We start from the raw sequence: 16,604 nt of genomic DNA on the forward strand, positions 1-16,604 counted from the left end.
CTGGGCGGGGGGGCTGACCCCCCCCACCTCCCTCCCGGACGGGGCGGCTGGCCAGGCGGGGGGGCTGACCCCCCCCACCTCCCTCCCGGACGGGGTGGCTGCCGGGCGGGGATGCTCCTCACTTCCCAGACGGGGCGGCTGCTGGGTGGAGGGGCTCCTCACTTCTCAGACGGGGCGGCTGCCGGGCAGAGGGGCTCCTCACTTCTCAGATGGGGCGGCTGCCGGGTGGAGGGTCTCCACACTTCTCAGACGGGGCGGCCGGGCAGAGACGCTCCTCACTTCCTAGATGGGATGGCGGGCGGGCAGAGATGCTCCTCACTTTCCAGACTGGGCAGCCAGGCAGAGACGCTCCTCACTTCCCAGACGGGGTGGCGGCCGGGCAGAGGCTGCAATCTCGGCACTTTGGGAGGCCAAGGCAGGCGGCTGGGAGGTGGAGGTTGTAGCGAGCCAAGATCACGCCACTGCACTCCAGCCTGGGCACCATTGAGCACTGAGTGAATGAGACTCCTTCTGCAATCCCGGCACCTCGGGAGGCCAAGGCTGGCGGATCACTCGCGGTTAGGAGCTGGAGACCAGCCCGGCCAACACAGCGAAACCCCGTCTCCACCAAAAAAATACGAAAACCAGACAGGCGTGGCAGCGCGTGCCTGCAATCGCAGACACTCGGCAGGCTGAGGCAGGAGAATCAGGCAGGGAGGTTGCAGTGAGCCGAGATGGCAGCAGTACAGTCCAGCTTCGGCTCGGCATCAGAGGGAGACCTTGGAAAGAGAGGGAGAGGGAGACGGTGGAAAGAGAGGGAGAGGGAGACCGTGGGGAGACGGAGAGGGAGAGGGAGAGGGAGCCGGAGCCATTCTACATTCTAATTCAGCTATCCTATAGGAGCAGTATCTACCTACCTTTGATTTTGGCTTTTACCTGGTTGGTAGCTACAGGGAAAAATAAATTCTTTTAGATAATCATAGAAATTCCCTGGTTCTCTGACCTGGGGGATTTAAAACACTGAGTGTTGTTTGCTTTCTTTGAGCTGTCTAGTGAACTTGGAAACAGCCAACTTACCTCACAGTTGTTGTATTCCCTCATAATCTATCACTCAATATGCAAAGCCGTGCATTAGGTAACTGTCTTAGTTCTGTTACTACACATGATAACTTAAGTAATTCTTTCATCATGGGATATCATGGACTACCAGTGTTTAACCCTCTTATGATCACTGCAGCCTTTCTGTCTTCAAACCCAACCAGATCAGATACCAATCACACATTTCCATTTGCCCCAGGAGTACATTGCCTGAAATCATTTCTATACCCAATTACTATAATGGTCATTGTTTAATTACAGACCACTACAGTACGCTGTAACTGGCTAAAGCAGAAAGGAATTTATTAGGTGAATTGGCCTCCAGAATTTCTGGGGTGACGTGGGTACCATACCGTCAGTATCGGGCTGTCAAGAGAAATGCCTTCAATCACGCAGTGAGATGATTTCAGCAAAAATTCTGCTGCGGCTACAGTTTGTGGTTGAATACATCTCTTTATAGGTGACTAGAGTTATAGTTAGGTACTTTAATAGCTATTGTATTGATGTTTGAAGAGAGGAATTACATGGATTATATTCTAAAACTTTATGTTTATTTTGACTGGGACTTAAAAGTATTTTTTCTTAGAAACTGTTTTATAAATTCCAGTTTCACTTTCAGATTAGGTCTAAAAGCATACACAACCTGAACTATATCAGAATGCAGAGGAGCCAACATCCAAAGACACTTTTAGAAGTATAGTCTTCTTTTAAAAGAGTTCACAAAAATTAGACTGCTTAAGGAGTATAGATATGCCCAACCTAAAGAAAATCAAATATACAGACTTTCGGATTGCCAACTGATGTATGTTAGGGGCTTTAAAGTCTCATTTTAGCTGCTAAAGGATGGCTTTCCTGGATATGTACATCCATTTTGGCAATGGCTATCCTAGCGTCCTTGGCAGCACCACTGCTGTTTACGTGAAGGCGTGTGTGTGAGGATGCAAAGTAGAGCTACTACTGTGCTTCTTGGTCTATGTTGAAGTTTATCAGAAATGGGATGGTGGACATGGTGGTGGGAGGAAGTTGAGGAGTGGTGGCAACAAGTACACAATTAGCCTGAGTGATGAGGTAGCTCCAAACTGTGGACATATGAGAATAATGCCGAAGTCTGTGCAATGTATTGAGGATGATTTTTAATTTCTAAAGTGAATGGGCTGTCTGGAATCAGGTAGGTCTAGTATGAGCAAGTTTTATCTGTGAAGTAGGATGTAGTTTGATAAAGAGGTAGGTTTTAAGCAGTGCCTATTAAGTTGTATGTAAATTTAGATACAATTTAATAGACATTGCTAAAAACCCCTCCTTTATAAATTCCACAGTGATCCCAGGCTCCCCAACCATACCGTTTTGAAAAAGGAAAAACATGCTTTTCATTGCCTTTGGGTAGAGGTGAATGAAAGGTACTGCTCTAAAAAATGGTCACAGTGGCGACACCTGGAGCAGGTAGTGAGGCCACCTGATATCATTAAGTAAACCTCTCTTCGGTGCCTTTCCTTGAGGACCCCAGAGGGCCAGTGAAGCAGTGTTCCCCTTTTATTCCTTGTTCCTTTCTTTTACTTGCACCTTAGAGACATACCTCTTTTTATTACACTTCACTTTATAGCACCTCACAGATACGGCGCCTTTTACAGATGGAAGGTTTGTGACAACCCTGTGTCAAACAAGTCCGTCAGCACCATTTTTCCAACCACATGTGCTTACTTCATATCTCTGTGTTAGCATTTTGTAGCAATTAAGCTGTGCACATTTTTTTTTAGACAAAATGCTATTGCATACTTAATAGACTACAGTATAGTGTAAAAACAACTTTTTTTTTTGTTTTTTTGAGTCAGAGTTTCACTCTTGTTGTCCAGGCTGGAGTGCAATGACTCAGTCTTGGCTCACTGCAACCTCCACCTCCTGGGTTCAAGCGATTTCTCCTGCCTCAGCCTCCCACCCAAGAAGTTGGGATTACAGGCAGGCACCTGCCACCACGCCCGGCTAATTTTTGTATTTTTAGTAGAGACAGGGTTTCACCATATTGGCCAGGCTGGTCTTGAACTCCTGACCTCAGGCAATCCACCCACCTCAGCTTCCCAAAGTGCTGGGATTCCAGGCGTGAGCCACCACGTCTGGCGAAAAACAACTTTTATGTGTGCTGGAAATCAAAAACTTTGTGACTTGCTTTATTGCAGTATTCACTTTATTGCAGTGGTCTGGGACCAAACCCGCAATATCTCTGAGGTATGCCTGTATTTATTTTGTATCGGTCCTCTTACTCAACCTGTGTCCTTGATAGGTCAAATAAGAAATCTCAAACGTTGAAAATAAAAATTTGGATTGTGTGAGATTAAAGATGTATATGTGCTAAAAAAAAAAATAGCAGTTAATCACTCTTAAGCAATTTCATTATTTCTGTTGTTTCTAGGCAGAAGAAATCCTTAGACAAGAGCTGGAGAAAAAAGAAACGCCTAGTTTATACTGCTTGCTTGGAGATGTCCTCGGAGACCATTCTTGCTATGACAAGGCCTGGGAGTTGTCCCGGTACCGCAGTGCTCGTGCTCAGCGCTCCAAAGCCCTCCTTCATCTTCGGAACAAGGAGTTTCAAGAGTGTGTAGAGTGCTTCGAACGCTCGGTTAAGATTAATCCCATGCAGGTTAGACAACTCATAACCCCCTGCTGCTCTCAGCGCTTGTGCTGTTCTTTGGATTTGATCTTACAGAATGAGTACCCATTTTCTAACCTGATAACTGGTGAGTTTGTTTTTGACAGCTAAGAACTTAGTCTCTAATAGACTTTTTGCTTGTTGCAAACTTGCTTGTTGCAAAAAGTGGATAGGTTTTTTTTAATTCACTTTCTATTACTTTAACTTTCTGTTTCATTTTGTTATTTTTTTCCCTTATCTGTCCTTAACTGACATACAACTATTAAAATTAGGTCCAATTTTGAGCGGATATGTTAGGAAGAAAATGAACAAGAGCCAAAATTGCAGACAGCATAGGACTTTGCAAGTATTTGCTGAAATCAGTAATGAAAGAAAAACCTTTATATAAATAGGATAGCATATAGAATGGATTCTTGATCATTTTAAGAAAAACGTGTATTTATATACACACAAATACATTTAAATGTTTAAAAGTTTTTAAAGGTTTGAAAAAAATAATGCGAAAGGGTCTGGATCTTTAAACTAAGTGACATGATAAATCCATAGGAGTGGACCTAATTTTGAGGGAAAAGAGATTAACCTTATTTTGTACTTAATGATATTCAGTTATCAGAATGTTTTATTATTAGAAATGGTCATTTTTTCTACCAAACTTTATTTATAACTGCCTTCCCATTTCACCAATCAAAGGCACATATAACTGTCAATCATTGCTGTTGAAAAACATGCACACTGATTTGCTGTAATCACCAGTTAAAATACTAACTTATAATTAGTGACTAATGTTCACCAAGCACTTACTATGAGCCAGGTAATTCATTAAGCATTTTGCTAGTATTCGAATCCAGATGGTCTGATTCCAGAGCCTACACTGTCTTTTTTTCTTTAATTGTGGTAAAAAACATAGAAAAATTACCATCTTAACCATTTTTAAAAGTACAGTTCAGTGCCAGGCATGGTGGCTTACATCTATAATCCCAGCACTTTGGGAGGCCAAGGGATTAATTGAGCTCAGGAGTTTGAAACCAGCCTGGGCAACATAGTGAGACCTCATCTCTGAAAAAAATAAATAAATAAAATTAAATGAAAGTACAGTTCAATAGTGTTAGGTACATTCCCATTGTTGGGCAACCAATCTCCAGAACTTTTTCATCCTGTAAAACCAAAACTCTATACTCATTAAACAACTCCCTGTTTCCCCTTCGTTCCCCATCCTGGCACCTGCAACCACCATTTACTTTCTGTCTTATGATTTTAACTGGGTAACTGTCTTATGATTTTTACTAGGTAACTTGTAAAAGTGGAATCATACAATATTTGTCCTTTTGTGACTGACTTATTTCACTTAGCATAATGTCCTGAAGGTTCCTTCATGTTGTAGCATGTGTCAGAACCTCCTGCCTTTTTAAGGCTGAATAATATTCCATTTTATGTACATACTTCCTTTTGTTTACCCATTCATCTGTTGATGGATACTTGGCTTACTTCCACCTCTTGACTATTGTGAGTAGTGCTGCTGTGAACATGGGTGTGCAGAAATTGTCATTTTTGAACTGGATAACTGAGGGAATGCGTTTTACATTGAAAAAAAATCAGAAGTGCATTTTCTTATGCTGGATTGAGCTAATTGCTTACTTTCCGAACTCTGAATGGTGAATATAATTAGAACTTTCCAAATCAGGTAAAAAGCCTGGAGAAGAGAGTAGGACAGGTGTAAGTACAGAATATCAGCAGAAACTAATGGGTGTATTTGACAGCAAGGATGCTTAGAGTATACTAAGGAATTGGTTTTTGTTGACAGTTTGCTCTAAGTCACTGGGGATGATTTTGTCCCCCAGAGGACGTTTGGCAACTCACGTAGTCATTTTTGGTTTTGACAGTGGGGACGTGTGGGGATGTGCTACTGACATCGAGTGGGTGGAGGCCAGGGATGCTGCTAAACATCCCGTAATACACAGCACAGCCCCCACAATAAAGATTATCTGGCCTGTCATGCCACTAGTGCCATGGTTGAGAAACCCTCCTCTAACTTGATTATCACTCTATTTTTTTTGGCGGCGGGGAGGGGTTGGTTTTTGGTTTTTGATAGAAGGGAGAACTCACTCAATATTGTTTTTAAAATTTTACTTTTCTGAAAAACTGTATCATATCCTTGCATATCTTGGAAGCTTCTGCCTAAAGTTTACCCTAGCTGCAGTTGCCTTATGAGTGGGGGAAGTGAGTTCCCTCGCTTAGCCTGCCACAATCGCAGTTAAATCAGTGCCAGGTGCCTCACAGACATGAATTGTTCTCTGCAGCGCACAGTCTGTTCTCAACACATCAGCATTATCCTTTTCCTTCTGCCTCGCTGGCAGCTCCTTCTCAGGCTCCCTTGCTGGTTCCTAGGGGTGCCTTAAAGGCTTAGTCCTTGGACCTTGTCTTTGTCTGCACTTACTTCCTTGATTTCATCTAGTGCTGGAGCTTTAAGTTCCAACTATACACTGACAACTTCCCAGATTTTATTTTCACTCCTGTTTTCTCCCCTGAACTCGACGCCAGTACTTAACTGCTTACGCGATCTCCCCATTCCTCACTCCAACCTAACATTTACAGTATCTGAAGTGTTCTCCCCATCCCTAATCCCTCTTCCTCCCAAGCTTATCCTTATCCTCATCCCTATAAATAGCAACCCCATCCAACCTTGGAGTCATGCTTAATTCCTCTTACCCGTATACCCCACATCTAATCGATCAGCAAGTCCTAGCAGATCTGCCTTCAAAATATGTCCAGAATCAGACTGCTTCTTACCACCTCCTGTCATCCTGGTCCAAATCCCCATTGTCTTGCACCTGATTAATTATGTTACCTCCTTATTGGTCTTCCTGCCTTTCTCCTTGCCCCTCTGCCTATTCTCAAAGGACATCCACATTTATCTTTCAAACTCAGGTCAGTTATGGTAATACCCAGTCTCTTAATGGCTCTCAAGACTTTCCCCAGTATCTAGCTCCCGGCACTTCTTCCTCCTTCCTCCAATTCTCCCCTTTTCTCACCCCACATTGCCCTCCTTGTTCTCTGAATATGCCAGGCACATTCCTGCCTCAGGGTCTTCCTCTTGCTCTTTCTCTGCCTGGAATGTCCTTCTTCCAGATATTTCATTCAAGTCTGCTCGAAGGTCACTTTCTCAGAGGGGCCTTCCATGATCATTCTATTTAAAATCATACCCCTACCTTATACTCCTAATTTTCCTTCCCTGCTTTATTTTTTTCCGTAGCACTTATGTATAGCTTACTTTTTTAAAAAAGTTCTGTTTTGTCTTCACTAGAATGTAAGGCCTATTAAAGTGCCTTGTACTTATCAGATATTCAATAAATATTTGTCAAATGGGTGAATAAATAGTATCTTCAACTACTTTTTTTCAGTCAAATATATACTAATTGTCTGCCCTGCACGTAGCACTGAGCCAAAGAATGAAGACATAGCAGCAGGTCAGCAGATAGTCCCATTTGCACCATGGCAATCTAGTGAAGCAAACACAGACAGAACTAGCTAACAATATGATGCAACAAAGAAAAACCTAGCAATTTATATGTAAAGCACCAGTTATATAGAGGCCAAAGAGAACATTTCTACTTTTGGTAGACAATGAAGAGAGGATGTTGGAGTCGGCTTTGAAAGACAGGTAGGACTAGAATAGGCAAAGGAAGTGCAGTGGTGGGGGCATTCTAGGCAGGTGAAGAGTATGAGCAAAGCTCTAGAAACACAGAGAGAAGTGTGTGTGTGTGTGTGTGTGTGTGTGTGTGTGTGTGTGTGTGTGTGTGTGTTGGGGGAACAGAGGTTTGGTGAAGAGGTTAGTTTTTTAGGGTAGAAGGAAGTAGGGCAGTTATAGTGCGAAACCTAGACTGGAGCCAGGCTGTGAAACGTCTTCAATGTGAGGCTAAACCGTTGGGTTTTTATTTGACAGATAGCCATTAAAGGGTTGATTTCTTTGGAGCTTTGTTTTAAATGAAGGAATGTGGTGTGTAAAGAGGTAATTCAGGAATATTGTTTTGGTAACACTGGCTGTAGGAGATTCTAGATGGAGGCTGAGTTAAGAGACTGTAGCAATAGTTTAGTTTTTTGGGTTTTTTTTTTTGTTTTGTTTTTTGAGATGGAGTCTCGCTCTGTCACCCAGGCTGGAGTGCAGTGGCGCGATCTCAGCTTCTCAGCTCACTGCAATCTCTGCTTCCCAGGTTCAGGCGATTCTCCTGCCTCAGCCTTCCAAGTAGCTGGGATTACAGGCACATGCCACCATGCCCAGCTAATTTTTGTATTTTTAGTAGAAACGGGGTTTCGCCATGTTGGTCAGGCTGGTCTTGAACTCCTGACCTTGTGATCCGCCCGCCTCGGTCTCCCAAAGTGCTGGGATTACAGGCGTGAGCCACCGCGCTCAGCCCAATAGCCTAGTTTTTAGCCATGGCAATTCTCAGTGTGGGAGGGGCAATAGGAAGGAAGGGATGAAGTGAGGGAAGTCACAGGGGAGAACTTGACAGGGCTTGCTGGTCTCATTATATAATTTAGAATTAATTATTTACGTAGACAAAGAAATGACAATTGCTCAAAGCAGAGTCACAGTATAAACAGATGTTATGTGAAAATATTTTGGAGCTTCTCATATGGATCCAATTCAGGCGGGCGGTAAACCATGCCAAAATATGCAGGTATTGAATGCTGTAATTGTACAGAACTACTACAAGATGCAAACTTGAACACTGTAGACTCATTTTAACTGTGAACCAAGTTTGAACTGTCTGGAGGGAGAACGCCTATATGCTATGTTGTCTCCTTTAAGACCTGCAATAAAGGGAAAATAGAAACATGGAATTTAAAAAAATTCTATCCTCTTTTTTAGACATATCCAAAGAATTAGGTTAAATAACAAAATTTAGGCAAACCAAAGTGGTATTTGAATGGCTTCTGCACCTCTTAATAACTTTCTAAAGTCAAATTGGTATAAGAGCAGTTGTATCTGGAAAGGGTTAGGGGGAAAAAGGCTATTGTCCATCTTTTAGATTTAAGCGCATTTTAAAGTGAGAGCTTAAATAAAAACAAAGAACTTCTATAAATTGAGTGAGAGCTCAAGTTTAAAAAATGAGAGCTCCTATACGAAATAGAGGGGTTTGGTCTAATAACAGGGATGAGATGCAAAACTAAATACATTGTCTATGGTGCATTCATTAGAGAACCAAAAGACGTACCACTTATATTTACGCTTTGGAGATTGCTAGCTATTGTTCACTTATACCCACTTGTTTCATTTTTGCAAGTGACTTCTGAAACTACTTAAATTCAACCTTAGATTTCTGAGGTTTGCGGGATAGTGAAAGCTGAAGAAAATGGGAGGGAAATCTGACCAAATCTCCCAGGCACAATTTCCCAGGCAGAGGCTAGAATTAAAATATACATTCTTATTCCTATTCTTAGGTAGTTATTATTCCTGTTAACACTCTACTTTTATGCAAAAATGTAAAAACCAAAGAAATTACTCAGCTATCAAGCCAGTACGTTTAGCACTGAAAAAGAGAAATATTATGTCCTGTCAGTTTTTCCATCTCCCACTTAACACACATACAGTTTTCCTTTACTTTTGTCAGTCTCTTCTACCTTTTTAAAAATTTATTTTCCTTAACCTCCTCCTCAGTCAACCAGTCACTCACCTTTGTGAGATTATATGATACTGTGAACAGTATATGTACAAGCATACCACAGAGATACTGTAGATTCAGTTCCAGGCCACCGCAGTAAAGCAAATATTGTAATAAAGCAAGTCATGCGAATTTTTTGGTTTCCCAGGCACATAAAGGTTGAGTTTATGCTGTAGTCTATCAAGTGTGCAATACTATTATGTCTAAAAAAAAACAAACAAAAATCATAAATACCTTAATTTAAACCTACTTTATTACCAAAAAAAAATGCTAATGATTATCTGAGCCTTCAGTGAGTTATCATCTTTTTGCTGGTGGAAGGTCTTGTCTCAGTGTTAATGGTTGCTGACTGATCAGTGTGATGGTTACTAAAGGCTGGAGTAGCTGTGGCAATTCCTTAAAATAAGGCAACAGTGAAGTTTGCTGCATAGATGGACTCTTCCTTTCATGCCAGATTTCTCTGTAGCATACAATGGTGTTTGATAGCTCTTTAGCCACAGCAGAACTTCTTTCAAAATTGGAGTCAGTCTTCTCTAACCCTGCTGCTACTTTATCAATCAAGTTTATGTAATATTCTAAATCCTTGTCATTTCAACAATGTTTACAACATCTTCACGAGGAACAAATTCCATCTCAAGAAACCACTTTCTTTATTCATGCATAAGAGGCAACTTCTCATTTCTTCAAGTTTTATCATGAGATTATGGCAATTCAACCACATCTTCAGGCTCCCTTCTAATTATAGTTCTGTATTTCTGCCACACGTGTAGTGACTGCCTCCACTGAAATCTCGAACGCTTAAAAGTCATCCATGAAAGTTGGAATCAGCTTCTTCCAAACTCCTATTAATGTTGATGTTTTGACTTCCTCCCATGAATCAGGAATGTTCTTATTGGTGAACATTAGAATGGTGAATCCTTTCCAGAAGATTTTCAATTTGCTTTGCCCAGATCCATCAGAGGAATCACTATGTATGGTGGCTATATACCCTTGTGAAATGTATTTCTCAAATAATAAAACTTGAAAGTCTAGATTACTCCTTGTTCCATGGCTGCGGAGTGGTTGTTGTGTTAGCAAGCATGAAAACATTAATCTCCTTGTACATCTTCATCAGAGCTCTTGTGTGACGAGGTGCTATGTCAATGATCAGTAATATTTTGAAAGGAATCTTTTTTTTTTTTTTTTTAAGGAGTAAGTCTCCACAATGGCCTTGAAATATTCAGTAAACCGTGCTGTAAACAGAAGTATTGTCTTCTGGGCTTCATTGTTCCACTTACAGTCCTCAGGCAGAGTAGGTTTAGCCTAATTCTTTAGGGCTGTGGGATTTTCGGGTGGTGAATGAGCATTGGCTTCAGCCTAAAGTCACCAGGTGTATTAGCCCCTAATAGGAGAGTCAGCCTGTCCTTTGAAGTCAGGCATTGACTTCTCTCTAGCTATGAAAGTCCTAGATGACATCTTCTTCTAAAAGAAGGTTGTTTTGTCTTCCTAGAAAATCTGTTTAGTGCAGCCACCTTCATCAATGGTCTTAGTCAGATCTTCTGGATAACTTGCTGCAGTTTCTCCATCACTACTTGCTGTTTCATTGTGCACTTTTATGTTATGGGGATGGCTTCTTTCCTTAAACCTCATGAACCATCTCTACTAGATTCAAACTTTCTTCTGCAGCTTCTCCACCTTTCTCAGCCTTCACAGAATTGAAGAGAGTTAGGGCCTAGCTCTGAATTAGGCTTTGACTGAAGAGAATGTTATGGCTGGTTTGATCTATCTAGACCACTCAGACTTTCCCCGTATCAGCAATAAGGCCATTTCGCTTTCTTATCACTTGTGTATTCCCTGGAGGAGCACTTTTAATTTCCTTCAAGAGCTTTTCCTTTGCATTCATAACTTGGTTAACAGTTTGGTACAGGAGGCCCAGCTTTCGGCCTGTCTCAGTTTTCGACATGCCTTTCTCACTAAACTTAATCATTTCTAGCTTTCTTTTCATTTGATACATTGTAATTATACATATTTATGGAGTACAATTTTCTGTTTCAATACAGGTATATGTTGTATTATGATCAAATCAGGGTATTTAGCATGATGATCACCTGATACATTTATCATTTCTTTTTGGTAAGGACATTCAGAGGCCTCGCTTCTAGTTCTTCTGTGATCCACAGTCCCTCATCATTTCTAGCTTTTGATTTAAAGTAGGGTATGTGTGACTCTTCCTTTTACTTGAACGCTGAGAGGCACTGTAGGGTTATTAATTGTCTAATTTCAATATTGTTGTGTCTTAGGGAAGCGGGAGGCCTGAGGAGAGGGAGAAGATAGGAGAGTAGCTGGTCAGTGGAGCAGTCAGAACATACACAGCATTTATCAGTTAAGTTCACTGTCCTATATGTGTGCAGTTTGTGGTGCCCCCAAACAATTGCAATAGTAGCATCAAAGATTACTGTTTGCAGATCACCATAACAAATGTAATAATAATGAAAAGATTTGAAATATTGTGAGAGTTACCAAAATGTGACAGAGACACGAAGTAAGCACACAGTGTTGGAAAAATGGCTGATCTTGTGTTATTTGTATTTCCCTACTTCACCTCATATTGCTTTATTATTTATTTATTTATTTTTGCAACAGGGTCTCACTCTGTCACTCAGGCTGGAGTGCAGTGGTGCGATCTCTGCTCACTGGAACCTTCATCTCCCGGGTTCAAGCAATCCTGCTGCGTCAGCCACCTGAGAAGCTGGGACTATAGGCATGCACCACCACGACCGGCTAATTTTTGTATTTTTTGTAGAGACAAAGTTTCATTATGTTACTCAGGCTTGTTTTGAACTCCTGGCCTCAAGCGATCTGCCCCGCTTGACCTTCCAAAGTGTTGGGATTATAGGCGTCAGCCACCATGCCTGGCTTCATACTATTTTAAAGCAAATCCCATACATCAAATCATTTCCTTAAAAACATTTTGAGTATATTTGTCTAAGAAATAGGGAATTTTTTAAAACCGTAATACCATTGCACTTAAAACATCAGTAATAATTTGTAAGAAACTTTTGATTGAGTTTCTGATTTTAATTGAATAAATTTATATCCTTTACTAGAGCAGACTGTAATAGAGGCCTGTAATTTAGCAGCATCTAAATCTGGTGAAACATTACAAAAATCATAAATAGAGACAGCATATTTGATATATTTTGTCTTGTTAAAAATATTTGTTGAAGAAAAGTACCCTAAATGGAAGCCAAAAGATACTAAGTGAATATTTATAAGTTTTTTTTTGTTTTTTTTTTTTTTTTTGAGACAGAGTCTCGCTCTGTCTCCCAGGCCAAGGACTGCGGACTGCAGTGGCGCAATCTCGGCTCACTGCAAGCTCCGCTTCCCAGGTTCACGCCATTCTCCTGCCTCAGCCTCCCGAGTAGCTGGGACTACAGGCGCCCGCCACCGCGCCCGGCTAATTTTTTGTATTTTTAGTAGAGACGGGGTTTCACCTTGTTAGCCAGGATGGTCTCGATCTCCTGACCTCATGATCCACCCGCCTCGGCCTCCCAAAGTGCTGGGATTACAGGCGTGAGCCACCGCGCCCGGCCATTATAAGTTTTAATATTAACAAAGCTAGAATTAAAAATATGTTCTATTTAGCAGAAGTTGCTCTGAGCTTACCAGGTACATCAGTATACTTCAAAATAATATTTTCAATTAAAATTATTGTGTCCCCTAGAAAAGAGTCAATAAAAGAGTCAACAATTTTAAATGTGTAAACAATGAATCTGACAATTAACAATAAAGAACAACTTTGAAGTAGCAGGTAATCTTAGGAAAAAATAAAAAATACTAAGATCATATTGAAAGAATATATTCATTAGTAAAATATCAATGACATGGTATTAGCATAAAATATGACTAAAACACTGATTAAAGCATATGAATGTCTACTCAGAATAATTAATTTTAATTCTGTAATAGATTATGGAAATGTACAAAATTATAATTGTACAGCTTGATTAATTCTCCTTTATTATTTTTTAATGTTCACATAATCAGCATTAAAATTTTTTTACTTTAATGTAGTTTTATTTTTCAATAATTTTGTTTTTGAAAATAATTTTTGAATAGAATCATCTTATAAGTCCCCAGATGGAGTAAAACCAATTTATTGATCAACAGTTTGTTGGTTGATAAATATGTTTATTTAAACCGTGTAATTTAAATTATTTTCTTTAGTGCTCTGGTTCACTTTCAAAAGTGTTGCAGTTTGTACATTACATTATGTGGTTGCCTAACTAAGCATTATCAAGTACTTGTATATCAGATATGGATGTGGTTATGAATTGTGCTATGTCAACCTATCAACAGAGAACAGAGAGTTTCTGCCAGGAAATGATAATGGACAGAACTAGTTTCCAAAGGGCCTTAAATGCCCTGTATCAAGATTACCTAACCCTGTAGATGTGGGAGCCTATTGTGGTTTTGAATTAAAAAGTGATATGACAAAAGTGGTATTATGGGAAGTTTAAATAAGGAATGAATATCATGGGTGAGTTATCAGTGGCTTGAGTGGTAAGCATGGAAAACATAGAATGACTGAAGCCTCATTACAGAGGAAATTTTCTGGGACTTACACATTGGGCTGGCAGTATTGAGGGAGACGTTGGAATCAGAGAGGAGGCCAGTTTTCTCAATTTTCTGATTAAAAAGGAAAATGTCTCTATTGATAGCCATAGGGATTTAGGAGGAAGGGAAAATATCTTTTGCCAGCAAGGTGATGTGGTTTTGGATGTTGAATATGAGGAGATGGTGCTGTATTGTAGCAGAGATTGTTGCTAGTCCATTGGAGATAAAAGCCCTAGTGAAGCCCAACAGTGAGGCCTGAGCATGCAGATGGGGCTTTTCTGTGGAAGTTACTTGAAACCATGAAAGTGAGTTCTTCACAGAAAACTGTGTTGGAAGAGAATAACAGGCAATGTCCTGAGCTTTGGGCATCTCCTGAAGTTGGAAGAAGATAGGATAAATGGCACCAGTGAAACAGGACTCAAAGTACATCAGAGTCTTGGTCAGAGGGATAGAAGGAAACCCCAGCAAGGGGTTCATGGCACCTAAAACAAGAGCAAATGTCAGCGAGTTATGTCACATGTAGTGATAAAGTGCAGAGGGCTATGAAGAGGTCATTGGATTTGGAGCTCACTGATGACATTCAAAAACAGATTCAGGAGAGTAAAGGGTGAGTGATAGATGAAGAAATGGAGATAGAATCTATAGACTGTTCCTTTTAGGAGCACGTCAGAGAGATGAGAGACAAATGTAGAGTGTTGTACTCAGAGGGGCAGAAAAGTCAGGTAAAACATTTCAAGATACTGGAGACCTTTACATGGAGGAAGGCAGAAATGAAAGACTCCTGTGGATAAAGGAGAGATTGAATATTGTAAGGAGAGAGGGGAGATAAATAGGGAATATCATTCTAGGGGAGAGTGGAATGAGGAGAAGAGATGAAGATATTAGCTTTGGAAATAAGGAATAGTATTAAAAATGAGACTGGAAAATGAGAACATTAACATTATAATAGCTATTTCTATTCATTAAGCATCTATATTCTAAGCTCTTATGTAAGTATGAACTCTTTGTAAACCATTGAGGTATTGAGGGGGATACAGGAGAATTGTGTTAAGACACAGACTCCTGCCCTCCAGGGGTTTATATAGGTTAAATGGAGAGAGGAGGCATGAATAGCATTGTGTGTAGCCAAGGAATTGAGTGAATAGGCAACATGCTTTGGGTGCCTGGCAATGCTTTTGGGTGGCCTTGTAAATAAGGATGTGAATGGTCAGAAAAAGCCTGATGGAAGTGAATATTGGTGTGAACTACCAGGAATGGTTGGGATTTGGATAGGTGGAAAAAATTGGGAAAATATGTTTCAAGGAAGGAGACTAGCGGATGTAAAAACCAACCCTGCAGAGAGCAGTTTCTTGGTAACTATCAGTTTTGGTGGTTTATATTTTATTCAGTTATAATAATGAGAATAGCAACTAATGCTGAGTATTTACTCAGTGCCAGGTACTGTTCTAGAAGCATTTTCCATATATTTTTAATTCTCTGCAGTCACTGAGTTACTTATTGTTTTTACCCTACTTTCATAAATGAAGAAATAGAGGGTTAAGTAATTTGTACTAGATTTTACAGTTTATGAGGGATGGGGCTGGGATTTCAACCTGAGCTTTCTGATTCCAGAGCTCTTGCTCTTAACCTCTTCACAGTTTTGCCCTCGAGGATATCATAGTATGCTAGGACGTAATGGCAGATTTGGTTGAGGTCAAGTTATAAAAAGCCCTGAATACCAGTCTGTCAGGTTTGAACTTTTTTCATCCTTTAATGAAGAGCCATCGGGGCTTTCATCAGAAGCAAAGTGAGAATGTAAGATTGATGTTTGGGAACCATCCAGCACATGTTAGGGAGTGACTCTCTTTGAGACCAGGGATTTAACTGAGCCGACCTTTCCAAGGCCATTGCTATACATAAGACCAGACTTCTATGATACAGTACTCTGACATTTTAATCATCTTAGCGGTTTGTACATGCTGCTCTTCCTTGATTTAACTTTTTCTTTCATTTTAGCTTTTGAAAGGATAAAATATTTTTATTTGAAATGGATTTATATCGTTTCTGTTTTGAACTTATGTTATTTGTGGTGGGAAGACTTGAGGATGTTGGAACTCACATTCCAATAGGGAGGATAGGATGAACATATGTGAATAATATGTACGGAAAAAAGACATTCTTTCCTTTTTATTTTTCCCTTCTAATATTGGTAAGCAGTACAGAATGAAAGTCTTAAGGTGTAACTTGCATAACTGCCAAGAAATGTGAGTACTGTGATAACATCTGGGCTGTAGGTGTGACTGATGCATAGTGGGGAGGCCGAAAGCTTTGCTACCATAGACCTGATTCTGAATTCTGGTAATCCCGAGGAAGATAACAAAGGCAAATCTCTTCATCTTTCTGAGCTTTTAAATAATGGAGTTTATAATCTCTACCTGGATTTGCTGCTGAGAAAATTAGAGCCAGTATATGTTAGGTGTCTAACATATTTCCTGGCCCATAGTAAGTTCGCAATAATAGATGTTACGTAGTCGTTCTTTTCTTTTCTGCCTGTTGCACTGTAGAAAAACCATTGTTGCCCCATTATCTGTAGCCTAAAATTAGGGAGATATATCTAACAGGAGAATCTCACATGCAGATGACATATAAAC

General features: G+C 40.4%; 1 protein-coding gene across 5 annotated transcripts in view; it reads left to right on the plus strand.

Annotated features, from left to right (window-relative positions):
* The window catches only part of TTC27 (tetratricopeptide repeat domain 27), a 193,002-nt gene that overhangs the window by 126,761 nt on the left and 49,637 nt on the right, over window positions 1-16,604 (plus strand). For all 5 annotated transcript variants that reach the window (NM_017735.5, XM_011532958.3, XM_005264416.3 and 2 more), the window contains one exon: window positions 3,482-3,709. In NM_017735.5, the coding sequence (NP_060205.3) occupies window positions 3,482-3,709 (228 nt within the window). The remainder of the gene's footprint in view (window positions 1-3,481; window positions 3,710-16,604) is intronic.

The sequence above is a fragment of the Homo sapiens genome, chromosome 2, assembly GCF_000001405.40.
Source record: "Homo sapiens chromosome 2, GRCh38.p14 Primary Assembly".
NCBI lineage: Eukaryota > Metazoa > Chordata > Mammalia > Primates > Hominidae > Homo > Homo sapiens.